This window comes from Homo sapiens, chromosome 3, assembly GCF_000001405.40.
Source record: "Homo sapiens chromosome 3, GRCh38.p14 Primary Assembly".
NCBI lineage: Eukaryota > Metazoa > Chordata > Mammalia > Primates > Hominidae > Homo > Homo sapiens.
The window spans coordinates 174,044,350-174,064,498 of NC_000003.12; the positions used below are offsets into that span (position 1 = coordinate 174,044,350).

The 20,149-nt window shown below is 35.0% G+C and overlaps 1 protein-coding gene and 1 pseudogene across 33 annotated transcripts in view; both read left to right on the forward strand.

Annotated features, from left to right (window-relative positions):
- Positions 1-20,149, forward strand: part of NLGN1 (neuroligin 1) — an 898,421-nt gene that overhangs the window by 648,398 nt on the left and 229,874 nt on the right. The gene's annotated exons all lie outside the window — the stretch shown is intronic.
- RN7SKP234 (RN7SK pseudogene 234) lies at positions 13,292-13,515 on the forward strand (annotated as a pseudogene).

Sequence of the window (20,149 nt, forward strand, 5' to 3'; positions counted from 1 at the left end):
TTCTTTTCTATCACAAGACCAGGCTGCAAACCTTCCAAAGTTTTATGCTCTGCTTCCTCTTGAATGCTTTACCAGTTAGAAATTTCTTCCACCAGGTACCCTAAATCATCCCTCTCCAGTTCAAAGTTCAGCAGATCTCTAGGGCAGGGGCAAAATGCCACCAGTCTCTTTGCTAAAGCTTAGCAAGAACCACCTTTATTCCAGTTCTCAGTAAGTTCCTCACCTCCATCCGAGACCACCTCAGCCTCTCAGCCTGGACTTCATTTTCCGTATCACTATCAGCATTTTGGTCAAAGCCATTCAACAAGTCTCTAGGAAGTTCCAAACTTTCCCATATCATCCTGTCTTCTTCTGAGGCCTCTGATATGGTTTGACTGTGTCCCCTTCCAAATCTCATATTGATTCGTAGTTCCCATAATCCCTAAATGTCATGGGAGGGACCTGGTGGGAGGTAATTGAGTGATGGGGGCAGTTACCCCCGTGCTGCTCTTCTCATGATAGTGAATTCTCATGAGATCCAATGATCTTATAAGGGGTTTCCCCCTTTTGCTTGGCACTTCTTCTTCCTGCCATCATGTGAAGAAGGACGTGTTTGCTTCTCCTTCCACAATGATTATAAGTTTCCTGAGGCCTCCCCAGCCAGGCAGAATTGTGAGTCAATAAATTACCCATTCTTGGGCAGTCCTTTATAGCAGCATGAGAATGGACTAATACACCATCCAAACTGTTCCAACCTCTGCCTGTTACTCAGTTCCAAAGTTGCTTCCACATTTTTAAGTATCCTTACAGCAATGCCCCACTACCCAGTAACAATTGACTGTGTTAATCCGTTTTCATGCTGCTAATAAAGACATACCGAAGACTAGGTACTTTTTAAAGAAAAGAGGTTTTAATTGACTCACAGTTCCACAGGGATGGAAGGAAGAAATAGGCCTCAGGAAACTTACAATCATGGCAGAAGGGAAAGCAAACATGTCCTTCTTCACATGACAGCAGGAAGGAGAAGAATGAGCGAAGAGGGGAAAAGCCCCTCATAAAACCATCAGATCTTGCGAGAACTCACTTACTATCGTGAGAACAGCATGGAAGGACTACCCTCATGATCTCATCACTTCCCAGGAGGCCTCTCCTGCAATACATGGGGAGTATAATTCAGATTACAATCCAAGATGAGATTTGGGTGGAGATACAGAGCCAGACTATATTATGTCCCTTAATGAAAATCAGTGTGCCAATCATACATTTTACCTTGTGGGAAGTAACTGAGACATTAGCTAAGATTGCTTCTACTACATAGAAAATAAGCATATTTGATTCTATGTACTACCCTGAGGAAACTGGAATTTCAAACCAGTATTCCTCTAAATGGTAGCTCACTTTCTTTAATGACTTATGTTTTTATTCTTTACTCTATATTTTACTGACAGTATTTGAATAAATCTGCTTGCAAATGTAATATAAAAGTAGCCCAGAGTAAGTATGGAAAGCTGAGCTTATAAAATTCTTCTTCCTTATCAGTTGAAACAAAACAGACATTTCAGTCCTCTGAAGTAATTTCTATAATAAGAATTCCAATCTGAGATCAGATTTTCTTAGTTTCAAGAAATCTGAGGAAAAGCATTGTGATTTAAAATCCTACTAGGGCAAAAGCTACATGTCTATTTGTTCAGAAAATATTTGGTCATTATACTCTTAGTGTTTCAATAATGACCTAAAGAGAAAGGTGCTATCTCAATATATGTGAGATTTATTGCAAGTATATTTGTAAGGAGAATTGTACCAACTATTTTGCAAGAGCATGTAAAAAATTGAAGCTCCATACTATATTTCCTTAAATGTAATTCAGCAGTAACTTGAAATTGCTTTCATATACAAAAAATGACAATAGTATTTCCTCAAATGGATTTGAATACAATGGTTTTGTTCTTTAAATAATAATGGAAAATTGAAAATTGGCACAATAAGATATTCCTTCCTGCTTTATTAAGATCAGTCATGGCTGCATTTAATAGAAGCAGGCAACTTTTTTTTTTTTTACTGTATTATTTTGTTTGTTCACTTTTGCCTCTTGTAGCTCTACATTAGTGCAAAGAAAATGGAGCTGTGAAGAGCTTCTGGGATTTGCTCTTGATCTTGCAAGCACAATCCCCTCCCCCAGTGTGACATTTGTTGAACTCCAATTACTACTTTTATCTGTGTTTGAACACACATTGCTAGGTTCAACAAACACATGCTTTACTGTGCTTAGAAGGAATAAAGATAACAATCTCATGCAAGTTTGTGACTGTTTCCTAAGGATTATACCTTGGAAGTATAGAAGAATAGATTTATAGTTCTATCTCATAATGGGGCTTCCTAAACCATGCCTATTTATAAAATTAAGAAGAGGATCAAATGAAATAGCTAAGTAATGTATATTTGTGAAGTATGAAGGGGCAGATTCTATTACTAAACAAGGAATTGCTTTCTTATTCCTTAATTATATTTAGTGCTATGTCATTCATCCATCAAATTTTACAGAAGTGAAAAGTGAATGGGTATGAGAGTTGTATAGTATAGTTAAGAAAATTTATAAAAGGTTTGGAAGTATTAAAAATAAATCTACATTGAATGTAAATGAAATTGTTAAGGAAAGTTATCAATGATGAAAAGGTAAGATTTCTAAAGTTTTAAGAGAGTTTAAAATAGATGTTCATTAGGTCAGAGATTGTTACATTTTTCTCTGCCTTAAGTTGCTATGTTTATTATATTTAACTTAAGCACAAAACAATATTGCTGATATATTAAATATTAGTATTTATTTGAAGGTTATAATTTTACCATAATTCACCATGAATTTATCATAATTCACCATAATTTTATATACTGGTTGCATTAATAGTATATTTTTATAAAGTGTACATTTTTCTATTTTCCACAAGTTAGTGAAAAGACAAGATTCCACTAACAGAAATGTATTGTACAGTAAACCCTAGGATTACATATCTATTCTACCTAAGAGATTTCAATTTTAGCCAAGGTCCAATACACAATTCTATATGTAATTGAGATGGTGACTGAGAATTGGGTTAGGAATTAAAGTTTAGTGACAAATTTAGAAACATCCAAATCCATTACTGAGTTGCCACCATATGCACATACTATTGTATTTGCTTGAGAAAGTTGAAAAAATATTTTGAGACAATTTCTGTCCTTGGAGATTTTACAGTCTGATAGGAGAGATAAGATAAATGAAAAAATCTTAAACACACATGCACAGATGCATATAAGCAGGCACACACACATCCTACATACAGATACACATAGTAATACGTGTTAAGTAAATATAAAAAACAGCCAGAAAAGACATGATGTGTTAGAAGTCTAGAGACTTTGTATCTATTCGTATTCCTATCATTATTTTATTTGCTTAAATATTCTTATCCTGTTTTATTCTCTCTAAATATTTGAGATAGTAAAAAAAAAAAAGATATAATTTGCAAGATTTTTAAGACAAAGTTAATGGATGAAATATGTGTGAAGAAAAAATTTTGCTAGGAAAAAGTAATTTAAAAACAAAGGGACAGTAGAGTTCAAAATGGATGTTCTGCGATCTTAAGCACTTCATAGATGTAGGCAAAATCGTTGGATATGAACCTTCTAGAAAGCAATTAAAGGGAGATCTGATTAGGTTTGTCATTTTAAAAGTCTAAATAGAGCAGTTGCACAGGAGGGACTTATCTGTCCTCCATACTCAGCAAGGAGAGAATTGTTTTCTATCTAACCTCAAAAAGAGAACATTGTGGGATAGAGTCAACATTCTCAACACATCGTTGCTATAAACATAACAGATTTCATGGGATTATTTTGATGACATCCTTCCAGATGGGCTGCTGGTTTAATGTTAATTTGATCTGGAGATAGTCGTGATGTGTAATTTTGGACCAGTCACTTGCCCTTTATAAGCTTTAGTTTAGTTTCTAAGTTTAGTTTCCTCATCTGCACAATGAGGGAATTAGACTGATTGGATGATTTAGAGAAGAAATTATAGTTTAAGTGCCCGTGAGAGGTGAAATCATTGGTGTCAATGATGGCAAAGAAGGATTGGAGAAAGAGGTATTGAGTTTGGTCACAGACAAGTTGACAGTTTTGCAAAAACTTTAAGGAGACAGTTGGAAACAAGGCCGCAGATAATTACTGAAGCTGAAAAAAAATGTAGGTCCGTGCTACATATCAAAGATTAGAGATATGAAAAAAAAATTTATCCTGGGGGAAATCTGTAGATAAAAGACAAAAGCCAATCCATAAAGAATGACAGAAGTAAGAGTCACGAAATGAAAGAGGAGCCAACAAGGTGACAGAGAAATACAGAAATCAAGCATTTAAAAAGGATATAATGATAAATGATAATTGTATGAATTATCATCAAAGATAATACTTGAAGATAAGATACAATAATAGGTGTGATAAAATACAATTGATATATTCAAATTAAACACACAAAGAAAATTATATTAGTAACTATAGATGCTAGGTACCACAGAATATTTTTTTCTAAGACATTTATGGCTCTCAAAACTATATTATGGGAACAAAGTGCTGTAAATAAAAAATAATCAGAGCATAAGCTAGAGTATCACAAATACCCAAAGATAAACAAAAATTTCTGCATCTTTGGTAAAGATGGGTTACATTCAGCCAACAGTCCATGGTGGGTTCAATTAAGTAAAAAAATTAAAAATTACACCTACAAGACAAAGAGACAAGATTAAAGAAGGGAGGAGGAGTAAAGTATTTTTGAATGTCAGAAAAAGCTTGGACAAAGGCTTAGACATAGGAAAGTTTGGGATTTTCAGAAAACAGCTAGTAACTATGTTGGTCACATAGAGTATGTGTAACGCAGTAGCTATTGATATTTTCGAAAAAGTTAAGTTGAGACTCAATAATTCTAGAGTAAGAAAAGTTATACTTAATATGTTGGATGATGAAAAGGTATTCAAGATTTTTGAGCCAGTAAGTGGCATGATCAGGGCAGTCCCTTAGTAAGATGCATGTGACAGTTATAGATAGGACAAAGGAGAAAAGGGTTGAGCAGGGATAAGCTGGGATGGGAGTTCTCATTACACCATGGCAATAGTGTAGGTGGCCTGAACTGGAGAAGTCACAGTAGAAATGAAAAGATCCAGAGGGCTAGCAGACCTGGGCAGAAACTGAATGTCAGTGTGTAACTACTGGCAAATAATAGTGGACCCTAAGGCTAATTCCCTATCTCCCTGCCATCTTTCTTACTTAGTAAAAATGGATTATGGTGTTTTGCTTCTACCTATCTCAGTGATGCTGTCAGAATTGATTATGCATATTTCTCCAAAGTAATCTAAAGTGCTTTAATTCTTTGGAACTGGACACTATGTAAATACGATTATTCATTACGTGTAAAAGAGGAATACAGAATGATGGATGTGCCTAGCTAACGTGAGAGAACTGTTTAAGAATACAGAGAGGGAAATAAGCTAAGTAATCAATATCATGTTTTAATGTGGAGAGCTAAAGACATTGATAGAAGGATACTGAGTGGAAGGGAAATAGATGAGGATAATGCGTTTGGGAGTTAAGACTGATAAAAGAGGGCTATGTTACACTAAATAATTTCAAGAGAAAAGGGGAATATTTTAGGTTCAGTGTTCAATATTATAAAGTAATAAGAAAAAAGTTTAAAATGAAAATTAGAGGCCATTTATAACATTTATTAAAAAGTTATAAGAACAGTTAGGTATGTAGATGTACATTCTGAATTTCACATCAAAAGTGATCAACACATACACAAATGCATTATAGAATAATATTTTATTTCAAAGACAAGTCACTGGAATTGTACAGTTCAAGTGATTAAAGTCAGGTGACTAGTATTCAAAAGGATGGGCACCATTGTAGGCTACTATGGCATTGACATTAAGGTGTCAATTTCTCTGGAGTACACAGAGATCACTTTAGGATCATGTTTTTACTTGGTACCTATAACAATAGCCATGAAAAGAAAGAATTATGACAGTGAAATTTGGACTTTGAAACATTTTTTTTTTCTGTTTTCAGTCCAGGATTATGGATCAGATTGACCTAGCATTTAACATAGATTAAAAGTCTATGGTAAACTGTTAGAAAATAGTGTATCACTTTCTTGTTTTCTCAAGCCACTGAAAAAATAATAATTAAAAAAGAAAATAGTACATCGCTTAGCATAAACTAAGTTATGTCACGTTTTGACAACTAATGCCGTGGCCTGGTGCAGAGAGTACTCTCTGCTTTGGATTAAGATAAGAAATGAATTAAATTGGTCTTTTAGGTCCCTTCCCTCCACCTTTATTGAAACCTTACCACACTAGCTGCTTGGTCTCCTTCCCATTTAGAATGGCTTTAAAGCTTTCCCTCCTATCAGCTGATAGTTTTAAGATTAAAGTGAACATATGAGTGTTGAAGAACATTCTAGGATTCAAAGCTATAATGGTGACATGAGGACTAGAGGTATTTCTCTGAGGGCAAGAAGTATCACTTGTGTCTGTTTGTCTGGCCAGTTGAGCACGATGATTCCAGCCACGAGAGAAGAGAACGCTGGGCTGAGAGGTTAGCTGTTGGAATAAGGTTTGGTTAACTTTGGAATTATACAATCAGCAAAGGGATGTCCTCACCAGTACTTCTAAGAGATCAAACAAGAGGCCTCCAGCTCCCTAAATTCTGGTTCTACTGTACCAACTCTGCTTTAATTTGTTTTAGGTAATGGGATTCCAGGTGCTATTACATTAAGAATTCTAATTTAACTCTTAAAAAGTGTTTTCTTAGATAAAGTAACTGGGACTCAGGGAGATAAAGTAACTTAGTGACTCACCTAAGTTTCCCCTTGTCTCCAATTCCAGGGTGCCACCCACCGTATTATGATGTTGATTTGTGAAGAGACTCTCAAGTAGGTTCAATTTCATAGTCCCAGTTTAAGAGAGAGGCCAAGTGAGGATTTGGCATACCACGTCGGAAAGGTTGCCAAGTCCTGGATTTCACTGATGAGACGGTTCCATTCTCATCTATGTGGCTGGTCGGCTGCCACCTAAACCAAGGAGAGCTCCCATTTGCTTTGTGTGAACTGGCTTTGCTGTAGCAGTGCTAACTAGCCATGAGGTAGATTTCTTACAATCAGTTTGGCATGGCTCTTTGCTCATAGCCTTATGTATGACAATCAAGTCTACATGGATGCCTAGAGGATTCTTTAGGGATTGGAGGACATAAATGGGACTGAAAAGCTCATAAATGAGGGCATGTCACAAAAACTGAAATTAGAGAGTAATTATGGTACTTAGGGCTATGGGAAGAACTAATGGGATCAAACTAATAAAATATTTCTTGAGAGCAAGTGACATTAGCTTGTGTGAGGAGTCCAAAAAGACTGTGGAATTATGTTCTGTGCCATCAAAATCCTTACCCCATCCACCCAGAAGAGAAAAGTATATCCCTCACAGGCAGATTGGCCTCATATGCCTTTGCTCTAATTTTCCGTTTGTCTGAATAAAGATGTAACACAATACAATTGAAAAAGGATGCGGATTCAGTGCTGGACAGTAATAGTTCTAGCCATGGGTTCTCTGTCTTTCTAGTACCAATAAAGAACCCCCTCTCCTCTCTGTGAAAAAAATTAGTTATTCATGTGGCATAATCGGTTTTAACACTTAGTTCAAGGCTCACAAAATCCAAGTGATTCTTCAGTAAAATGTTAATTTCCTGTTTTACTTGCAGCCTCACACCCATATTGAGATGTCACTGGGCTTTTTTTCTCCATGAACCATTTTACTGAATGTGCCAAGTGAGAAATGTAAAATGAGGTTGTCATTTCAATCTGGGGGGAAAGGCAGGGCATGTGTTGTGTAGGGGAAAACTCAATGCAGCAGTCTGTAATGCATATGTAAGACAAATTCAGATGATTTGGGGCCCTTTTGATAGCATGTTCTACTTTTTTTATAAGAATATTAATTATTATATTTTCCCTTGAGACTTCATTGAAGAGTTAACAAGATTATTGATTTTTTTTCAAATTAAGCAAGGAATGTACTTGAGAATGCATAATTCATAATAAATAAGCATCAAAACACTTTATAAAGTCAACAAGCAAAGTTCATTCTGACCTATTCAATTTTTAACTTGAATAAATTTCATATTTCTTACCATAACATTATACTTCAATGCACTGAATACTGATATACAAGTATATTTAAATATGGCAATAAAAATCAGCTGGAACCAATCAGATTTATGTGATAGGACCCTTGAGGCTAATATTTTACTATATCATTTATTTAAACTCTTATCTTACTAGTCTATTTAATAGGACAAAGTGATTAGGTGCTTCTATTTGAGAGTGTACAGTATTTGCGTTCTGTGTCACTGACACTAATGGCAGGGATCTGTGTGATTTTCGGTACTGGAAATTAGACAACAAAATTCACTATCAGTAAATTTCCAAGAGGATTCACAATTTGGCTTAATCAGTGGATATTATTATTTTACAAAGCCACCTGCTTTGTGCAAGTAGCAACAATGTTCTTTCTATCAAAAATGCTCCTACAAAATAGATGCGGCAGTAAATGTTTTACAACTAGCTAATTGCTACCTGTTCCTATGAAGGCCATTATGGAATGATGTTATTTGCACTCCATTCTTATCCTCGTACTATCCCAAAGCACATGTGTAGGACTTTACTTAGAGTTATCATATTGTCAGAGCAATATTATCATTTTAGGGGGATAGTGTTGTGTTGAAGAAAGTACCCCCAAAATGAAATAAATAGATTGGGTGAGTTTCTTGCCTTTAAAACTTACTATCAGGTGTTTCGGGGCCAATCTCTAAATATCCCTGAGCCTTAGTGTGCTTCTCAACAAAGTAATAGTAAAATATTTTGCTCTACTCAGGTCTCAGGACTGTTATGATAATTAAAAATGACAATAAAAAGTATTCTGTAAACTGTAGGACAACAGAAAAATGGCCATAATTATATTTTTAAAATGTATGCTTCTGGTGGTCTTGTAAACACAATTTTATTAACTACAAATGTACCATTTGAAATGGACTATCTATACAGTTTTGACATCATATTTAATTGATTCTGTTTTTTCAGTGGGTTTACCCAAGCTTCAGTTAGTTTGAAACTGTTACAAATAAACATTTGTATACTTTTAAAATTATTGTTTTGATGTGCTGGTATTTGGGAAAAGAGCAGTAAGTAATGGGTAAAACTTAATGATCACTGTCCTCTAGGTGCTAGCATTGAACAGTTGTGTCCCTTTTTGGCTTCAACTCTTCCTTTCCCTGCTTTCTTTCTTACTCGAGCCATCTTGTGTCTACTCTCTTTTCCTATTCCCTAATCCTTGCCCTTTTCCTTCTTTTACTGTTCAATTCATCCATTTCATTTGCTACCTTTTCCTTGGGTGTCTAGTTATTAGGAAAAAACATTCACAGCATTACATTACACATGATTACTTTAGAAATTTGATTTTCTTTGCTTATATTGAATATATTCCCTATATTGAAAACTCTGAAATTTTCAATATAAGGATTTCTGAAATTTTCAATATAAGGAATTTATTTATGCCAAGCTTCTTGAATATCTTTTCTATTATCAAATACAAATCTGAGCAAGTTCCTAAAACTTAAGTAGTCTTGGAAAAAAAATCACTGGAACTTTTAAGGACATAACAACAGTTTGCCAGACTTCTATTAAAAAAGTAGATTTGCTCAAAATATAGCTTCTTTGTGAACTATAGGTATGGCTTCAAATGTTTTCACTGACTGCATAATGAGCAACTAGAGAGCAAGGATTTGGTCTAATTTATGGCTGTATACCTAGTATCTAGCTTGGAGCTCTGAGTAACTAAAACAAAATGGTAAATGGACTTGGTGTAGTCCCAATTGCTACATGGAGACTCTTGCTATGCAGCAAATTACACACACATGCAAGTAATTTTATTCAAGAATTATTTGACAGTAAAGACCTAGGCAGTTGTGAGAAATAGTGGTATCTAAAATAAAATCAATCATTAACAAAGAGTTTACAATTTTGAAAGAATAATTCAATGAGTTCTATAAGAAGAAATTATTATGTTGGCTTACATAACCCTTCATTATCTGATCCTCTCTTTATTCTCTATTTTAGTTTCTTTCCATCCCTCCTCCCTAAGCTTTAGGGGTTCTGAACTGGTGCTTTTCAAATTGTGTGGAAGAATGATTTGCTTTTGTTTGTTTGAATATTTCATTTCTAATCCACTGTGGACGTGTGCATGGATCCTGCTGCATGCATATGACTAGTACACTGCTCATTTCACATGACAATACAAGAACTGGTCCAGACTATATTCAAGGCCATGATGATGAGTTCACTGATACTCTAATGTTGTAACAGTGTCCACTTTCCATAAAAGTTTCTAAGCACTTATTCGCAATGTCCGATCTTATTTCTGTGCATAGTCTGACAGTGAATTAGTGAATTAGTGGATCACTCTCCACCAATTAGCACACTCTTAAATTACTTGCAGTTTGCAAGCCAGTTGATGCCCCCTGCCATTTTGCTTTTGGTTTCTCCTTCCTGTAATGACCCTTTCTTCTGCTCCCGACTAATCTTCTACTAGTCTGTTGAGACTTAGCACTAGAGTCACCTCCTCCAGAAAGCCTTCCAAGACTGATACAAAACTCTATTACTATGCTTATCCTCCACATATATCACAGCACCTATTGCCTGGATCTGAACATGTGTGCTCAATTTTCTGAATATCAACTCCTTAAAGGAGCTTGCTTTTTTTTTTTTTTTTTTTCTGTCCAGTGCCTAAAATGACCTGTGGTCATCATTTACATTTAATATCTAATTATTGAATAAATTAATCATCAAATGAAGCAAAAGACATGTAAATGACTCTGGACCCACAAAATAGGGAGATACTGATTCTGGTTGAGGGAACTGGGAAAGTTGTCGCTGAAAAAAAATTTTGAACCAACGTTGGAAAGAAGAGAAAGTTGGCAGGCATAGGAAGGAACAACATATTTTAGGCTGCAGAAAAGGCAAAGAGGCCAAAAGGGCACCGAATTGTGATCTGATCAAGCAATGATGACTTGTCTTATGTGACTAGAATGTTGAGTCTCTGGCAGATAAGGCTGAAGAAAAATCTGGAGAGGGAGGCATTTAGATTTAACTTGTGGGATGTGTGAAATCATTAAAGATTTTAGGCACTCTAGGAAAATTCATTCCTGTGTTCAGTCCACAGCTCCTAAGCAACAATTGAATGCCATATACCATGTTTGGCCCTGCTACTGAAGCATAATCCCCATCTTCAAACAGCTAGTGGAGTAGACACACAAGCAACATGAAACCATTCTCAAGACTTTTGGTGAGAAGTAAATGTGTAAAACACTTAAAACAATGCTTGGCATATTACAAGCACTCAATAATTGTCAGCAATAATCATTCTCATACCTGACTTATTATTCTTTAATCTTACAAGTTTACAACATTCTTAATGTCAGGTGTGCCTATCCAATAAAAGTGGACATTGATTTTTTTTTTTTGCTACTTTTACAAGTAGGTTATAGCCCATTGTCTCTGTCCTAGTAGAATCTGAAAATAAATTGTGTTATCGAATAAGAGAGCAGATTATATGCTAAGTATTGTGCTCTGGGCTTTACATGTGTTACCTCTATTATTTAATTCTCATAGCTCCATGAGCCAATACTATTATTACTTCCCTTTAAAGATGTATAACCTAAAGCTTAGAGGGGTTAAGTAACTTGTCCAAGGGAATCTGAGCACAGGTCTATCCCCAGAAAGCAAATTCTTAACTATAACATTCTACAGCTATTTATTCAGAAATACATTTTTTATATTTTGCCGTGATGTAATGAGTATGTTGGTAATTCCTCGTGTCTGCATTTGTTTCTTACTTTATTGTTCCTCTTCTTTCAGATTATCAAAGTGTGATGTAGGCTGATTTTTTTTAAAAAAGCTTCTTTTTAAATAATATTTTTTCTACTGAAATAAGTAATTTCTTTTTCTTTTCATTGAATTGTATGTCATATAAAATGATTATTCTCATGTCATTGTAACAAACAGACCTATTTGTTACTTTTTTCGCCTAACTCAGGGACATAATTTCCTTAAAAAACGAGTAAGCTTTGAATCTCTCACTGGAGCAGGTTTTACTTTCAGTGCAAACGAGAATCCAAAGTTTGTATCATGGAAGTTCTCTAATACCAGGATACATAATGGGATTTTTATAGTCACTCCTCAAAGATAAAGGCCATTTATTTTTTTATTTTCCCATAATGAACCATTTAATAAAACACTAAGTGTCTGTATGCCATTTACAAATACGTTCAAGCACTATATTTCAGACTTAAGGAAGCCATTCTCCTTTCAGGCAGTTTTAATAAATTGAGAAGCCTTGTCACTTATTACGGTAAACATGAACTCAATCAAATTATTAATAAAAGCTTTCTAATTCATCTTTGGATGTTTTCATTCCCCTAGGAAATACAGTTTTATAATCTAACTTTTAAGCCATATATATATATTTTTTTTCATTTTTCTACATTATGATTAATCACTTGCTGATTGACATTTTCAGTTGGGTCTTATTTTCTTCCTGCCTAATTACATCCAGTCATTTTGTTATCCTTCTGTAATTTCATGACAACTCTACTGAAAGTATTGTGACTGTAGATTGATGTTCCACAGCTTCTTATAGTCTTGTAATTTAGGGCCTATTAATGGCAGACTGAGGGGAAAAAAAAAGAACTTAATTGGTTTTAAATTGCCCTTAAATTGTAATTAGAGGAGAAGAGAAGTAAGTCATAACTTAAGTATTTTTTGTCACAACAAAATTTAGAGGCATCCATGTGACACGGTACTGTTTTTGATGGGGACGGGGAAAACTTCTTGATAACTAGATGTGTGAATGCTACTGCAATGCTTACTGGGAAAATAAACCAGCACCTTATGGAGATGTGTATGAGCCTGAATGTGGCACAAGGGCCTGCAGGGAAGGAATCCCATAGTAGCAGTATGACCTTAGGTCTGGGGGTGACTAGACAGAAAGGTGAAAGCATAATTTAATATAAAAACAAAATCTTCCAGCAAGACATGGGGCATAGAAATGAGTTGCTTCCTAACAGAATTTGAGAAACAGCCCTACATAAGATAAGTCTTCTAATCTTCCATGTGTATTTTTGTTGCCACCATGAGTCGACTTTGGCTGAAAGTACATTGATCCTGCCATGGTTTTGGTGTGGCCGTGGATGGAAGGGCGATCTGGCTGCCACATCTGTCACCCATTGATTTTCCAGTTGATTTTGCCATGACTTGGTAGGTGGGGTCTCCTTTCTTTCTCCATCTGCATCTCTCCCAAACCTCAATCAAAAAGAATGCCCTTATAAGGAGCAGAAATCATCTTTAGTCATGTTGTTGAATTCTATGTGTATAATTTCAAAACTAGCTCTGCTTGTAGAGAGTAGATAATTTTATATAATTTGCTAAGTTACTCTACCTCTTTTACAGTGGAGGGAAAATAGTCTTAGATGTTGAAGAGAAACACTTGTGGAGTCAAATACAGAAGGAAGAATATAAGATTTAAGATTGGCATAGGTTATGATTTTGAGGGAAGAGACAGTTGTAGCTAAGATGATTTATTTGCATTATCAGTGAAGTGACTGTTGAAATGCAGTAACAATTCAGATGGCAAGTGGTAACAAGGCAGGTAAGAGTATATTCACCAGTATTTTTTGTGCTTCTTTTGTCAAGTGAGTGATTTCAAAGCCTTTCATATCATTATTCATGGATATGCAGTTTGTGCATCGGGAATTAGCCAGAGAGGCAGTTTTTATTTTCACAGTTGACTTTCAGAATTATGAAAACCTAACTTCTTTAACTCCATTTGCTTGTACATTGTTTTGACACATTCTGTAATGAAATTTTATGACAAGGTAAAGCATTTATACTGGAGAGTACCTGATTCAGTTAAATTAGATAAAAGCATCTGAATTGGACACACTTCCCATCCCCTTGCAGATGAATCTCACTTTTACAGATTGTAGAAAAGAGCAAGAGGGGTGCCATGTTACAACACAGAGAGATTTTCATCTTGCTTCTTTCTTACCCTTTCCTAGTGCCTGTCAAATTGCCTGAAACACAGTAGGTAGATACTCGTATACATTTGTTGAAAAGTTCATAAGTAAGTAGATGAATATTAATTACAAACTATGTAAAGAATTTGTATCATAAATCAATTTTTCATATACATTTTGAAAATTAATAAAACTATTAATAAGTCTCTTATTATTTTACCTGACCTACCTCTGCCTGAACCTGTATGGGTAGTTTAGTGGTAGACATGTACCTTGTATAGTTATAGTGAAAAAAAAATTCCTTATAGTAATCCATGTCATTTATCTGAGATTTTTTTAAGAGGCATATTTGTATGTAAAAATACATAAAGCATTAAATTTTTCAGTACTTCCTTGTCTATAGATAATTTCTGTTGCCAAAGGTTCAGCATTTCCTTGGGCGGGATCTTGAGAACTCAAAGCAAATGCCAGTTCTTTTACACTCAACCCTGCAGGCTTGAGGATGAAATATGAATAATCTGATCTACAAATACATTCACAAATGTGTATAACAGCTGTATGTAGACAGAATATGAACAGTTTCCCGTTGCTGTTTAATACTTTTCTGAGCTTTCTTCAAGTGTTTGGTGCTAACTGGGCACCTCAATTATTCTCCATCTGTGCTCACTACCAAAGCTGCCAGCCATCATACTGCTTGGGCCCCGGAGCCTATGGCAGAGAGCCTGACGGGGTAAATGGTGCAATCTAGTACTTCTTCCTGGGCTAGCCTAGCTAGTTAATCTAGTGAACAGATTACTTTGTCTTCAGCATTGACTTAGACTACGAAATAAAGCTATGGGTTGTCACAGCCTCAAAGGCAACTTTGAATGGAGAGGATATTATATTAGAATTCCGTTCAACAGTGTTTTTCATTGCAAATGGGATGAAATGGTTTAAAAGTGAAACTGCTATAAATGAAAGGTTTTGGGTGGGGCAACAAAGGAGTTAAGTAATCAAATTAGAGGATGAGATATAAAATCCATCAGCCTCAATTTCCAATTTCACTCCCTATCAAATAGTATGCTAAGCTAAACCAGAGAGCCTTTTGTTCTTTAAGCCTATAGACATTTTTCACTGATATGGAGACTTTTCTTGGTAAAAATGGACATCCATGATTTCTCATAATATTTGAATCAAGTAATATGTCTTATGATGACCACAATTACCATTTATGGAGAATCCATTATGTGGCAAGCTCTGTGCAAGAAGCCCTATGATAGCTAATTCTTGTAATAACTCCACAAGTTAAATGCTATTACAAATTGACAGGAAGGAACCTAGGTTCAGAGCAGTTAAGTAATGCTGAATTTATACGGCTAGCAAGTTTCTGTGCTAGAGATTTGAACCTGGCTGCATTTGGCAGCATAACAGTTATTCTTAATTTATTTCACACTCTGCATCTAAGAGCCCAAGGCTCTCATGGGTTTGGAACCAATTTCTGCAGCTTCTGGATTCTTATCTTCACTTTTTATAAAGCTGCAGATGAATTTGTGAGTGGGAAGAGGGACACTCAAAAACGTCACTTAACTTTTCTAAGGGCATTGAGGACAATCATCATGGCACCACCAATGTGATCCTAAATTCAGAGACTTTTTACAAAAAATTTGTATTTCTACATGGTACTTATTTTATGGTTATATTTCACCATGGTATAAAATATTAAAGAATATATATTTTTTAAAATTGGGGGTTCAGCTGATGAAATGGTGGAGAAAGCAGTGAATTGGAATGTTTTCTCTTTTCCCACTAAGCCTGAACAGACTGCTCCATCTCATATGTTAACAGATCACACAGCCTCAGCCATGGATAACTTGGACTTTTCAAGTTGATGTGAAGAATAGGGAAAGAGGAAGAAGAAGGACAGGAAAAGAGAAAATGGGAAGCAACTCAGGATCTGATTTAAAACTGTGAAAAGAAGAACCAGAACATATGCCCCCCTTTACCCTCCTTGAACAGTAGGACTTAAAGCAAGTGGAACAAAACTTTTCCCTTTCTTTGTCTCTCCCTAAGCAAATATTCATTTTCTTGAAGGAGATTGCTGATCAGAATCAAGCTCTCCCTACCTCTCTCTTGCCACATCCCATCTTGCCCTACAATTCAACTTGCTTACTCCTACACCTTCAAGATTCCCCCACTTTCAGTCAATCAATCATGTGAAGAGCCATGCTGTAATTTTGTGCTTTTCACATCCTCAACTTATGTTACAATGAGATTTCGAGGTGCTTTTTGCTGGCTCAAGCTGATAAGAGAAAATATGTAAGAGTGTTGGCTTCTTGAGCTAACATCAGTGTTGTGAGTTATATAATGAAACCTGTCTGGATCGGAATCCTAAAGCTATTATCTTTCTAGAACTGAGATAGGACACTTAAGGAGCCATTTAGAATCTCTTAGCCACTTATAGGTTGGGAAATCAGGTTCTTTTCCTCTTAAAAAAGGTTTGTTGAGGGTAGCTTACCATATTGTCAGCATTTTGCCTTATCAGACCTTGGGAGATATACTGAATTCTAAGGTATGATTTCTCCATACGGTTATTTTGCCTATTAAATAAGGTCTCAATATCTATTCTGGTGGTGTTTGAAAAGTTTTCACTTGGGATCTTCTGTGACCTTGGTGTTGTGTGCCATTTGTGCATCATTAAAAGGTCGTAATGAAGTTCTGCTGCACACAGATTGTAAAAGGTCAAGCAGAAAGTTGGGAGCCAATGAGGTTGGGAAGAAAAATTGTGCTTGCTGCAGAAGTTGAGGGATTCATTATATTGATGCTATGGGGTTTTCAGCAGAGTAATAACTGGGTTAGCAATAGAAAGTAAATCTTCTCAGCCACTTAGTCTGAATCTGCTTCTTCTTGATTTGTGGGGATATATTTTTAACAGAGTACAAGGAAAGTCATTACACTCAGAGGAAAGCCAGTAGAATTGGTAAATGCACTGTAGATAGACCAGCCAAAAGAAGAGCAGAGCTAGAGGGATAAAGCATGTCAGCTTCCTGGTTCCCACTCTGAGAGGTATTGTCAACCCATATAAAATAATTGGCTGAGAAGAACTTTGCATAAGTAATTATTTTAATTCTTTAAAGGATCTAAAGGACTGTTTTTTAACTTTAATGTCCTGGAGGTACAAGAATAGCTAATTAACTTGCTTAAAATAGCTATCAACAGAATTAATTAAAATGATTTAACATAAAAATAACATCAAAATAGCAGCAACTTCAAGTCAATTTATTTAGAAAGGATCAGCAAGGTAAGCTAATAAGGGCTTGGCTACTCTATAAAGTGCAGAAGCTCCAGTTACTGGATCTCCATTGAATATTCCCTGGTTGCAGTTTCTTAAAATGGGACTCTAGAAATTATGTGTAAAAGTGCAGCAGTTGATTGCATGTCTCACAAGCTTACATATGGAGTGAGATAATTTCTTCTTTAAACAAGCCCCAAACCATCTGTTGACTTAAGTCAACCCTCTGAATTTTACTTTGAAATAAATCGGAAGCCTAGTTATTCCACAAGACTAGTTTAATGTGTTTTCTAAATTCATACATGTGAATGCTTGGGGGGGAAGAAACTGTAAGAAAGCTTTTTCTGTAGAAGGATAAAAGTCATTAAGATATGGCTTATAAAATTAAGACTATTATTAGGAATTTCAACTTAATTCAAATCCACTGATCTTAACTGAGTGTTTAAAAGGTTTTAAAAAAGAAAAAGTGACTTTTAAGAAAGCTTTTGAAGCTTGGGAGTGAGGGACAATGGGCGGTTACTGACAATTTATTTAATTATTATGTTGTATTATCAAGTATTTTGGTATTAAGGCACATAATCTAAGGTAGAAGGACTACGTATAGTTCTCTTTTCCATAGGTGGCACCCTGTTTTATATAGAAACTGATTTTTTTCTTCATCAATACCACATGTTGGCTAAATGGCCAATGTATCAAGTGGAGTTAATCTTTTATTGCTGTTCACATATAATAATCTCAACATCTTTTAAATTTTTGCTTTTAAAAAATTCTGATTAAATGCCAACTAAGAAGACAGTAAATTCAATGGCTTGAACGTATTCTCTAAAAAAAAACACTAATTATATGAACCAGAATGTTACATGACAGCCCTTTAGAATCAGAATAGTGTATGTCATATATATCATTCACTCATATAGCCTTGTTATTCAGAAGATGAAACTATTGTTTCTATCTAATTTTTTTCTCTAAAATGAAAATGTTGTTGAAATTGCTATCTTTGTGATGAAAGAAACAATATTTATTAATACATTTTTCTTTTATCTCTTTAGAAACTATTTTTTCTATTAAAATGTACATACTCAGAATACTATCATTATTAATTTAACAGTGATTTAAATATAATAGTTATGTGGAAAAATATTACATTTATTATTTTCTTCCCTCAGTATAACACTGTATTAGATACTGATCATAACAACCAGAACCTTTGTCATGGCAATCTTATTCATTCATTTACTCATCCATCAAACAGTTCCTTAGAAATTGTTCCATACCAGGCTTTGGAAAGTTTCCTCTGAAAGAAAACTCTATTATCTAGCAAAGAACCAGAGATGTAGAAAAACGATTGCAATCTAACATGATAATGTTGGATGTAAAATATCATTGCATACATAGAAACAATAATATGGAATACAGCTGATCTCTCATGAGAATTAATGGAGTATGGACAACAATGGAATGACATCTGAAAAATGTTGAAAGACTGTGAAAACTGAACTCAGAATTTTATTTCCAAGGAAAATAACTCTCAAAATTAAGGCTTAAATAAATACATTTTTAGATAAATAACAACTGGCAAAGTTCATCACTGCAGACCTGTTTTACAAGAAAAGCTAAAAGAAGTTCTTGATGCTATGGGAAATGACATCCGTAGAAACTCTGATCTGCAGAGAGGAATGAAGAGCACTGGAAATTATCAATTTTGAGATAAATAGAAGAGATAAACTTCTTTTATTTTCTTATTTTTTTAGGTACACTAATGTCTGTTTAAAATAATAACAAAATATTGTGAGTTTTCCCATATATAGATGTAAAATATGACAACATTTGCACAAAGGATGAGAAAAAATAAAATTATGTCATGAGGTTCTTATATTTTATATACAGTACTAAAATTTGTTATCAACTAGCTTAGCAAAAATGGTAATGTGTGTATTTATGTGTGAGAGAGAGGGAAACAGAGAGACAGAGACAGAAAGAGACAGATTAAGAGAGAAAAAGGATGTTGTAAAATTTTAACAGTTGGTAAATTTAGGACAAACATTTGTAGGCATGTATTGCATTAGTCTTTTAACCTTAGTATGGTTTTGAAATTTTTAATAGTAAAAGGGTTAGAAGTAAAAGGAAAAGCAGATCCTAAAGGATTAAATAAATAAATAAATAAAAACAAGGGGGCTGGGTGTATCACCTGAGGTCAGGAGTTGAAGACCAGCCTGGCCAACATGGTAAAACCCCATCTCTACTAAAAATACAAAAATTAGCCAGGCATGGTGACAGGAGCCTGTAATCCCAGCTACTCGGGAGGCTGAGGCAGTAGAGCCGTTTGAACCCGGGAGGCAGAGGTTGCACTGAGCCAAGATTGTGCCATTGCTCTCCAGCCTGGGCAACAAGAGTGAAACTCTGTCTCAAACAACAACAACAACAAAAAACAATAGCAACAATAAAAAAAAGAAAAAAACAAGGGAAGATACCAGGAAAAGCATATAGAAAGCTTCATGAAGACAACACTTTTTTCCCAACACCTAATATAGTGATGGAATTTAGTGTAAAATATTTTTTGGTGAATTATTAATTATTAATGAACAGGAACTTGACAGGTGAAAGAGTAGAAAAAGGAAAAGGAAAATAATTCGGAATATTAGCCTATCATCATAACTACATTAACATATAGTATAGTGATCAAGAGCAGGAATTCTGGAGCTAGATTAATAGTTTGGGTTTGAATCTTGACTCCACTACTTACTAGCTGTGTAATCTTGGACA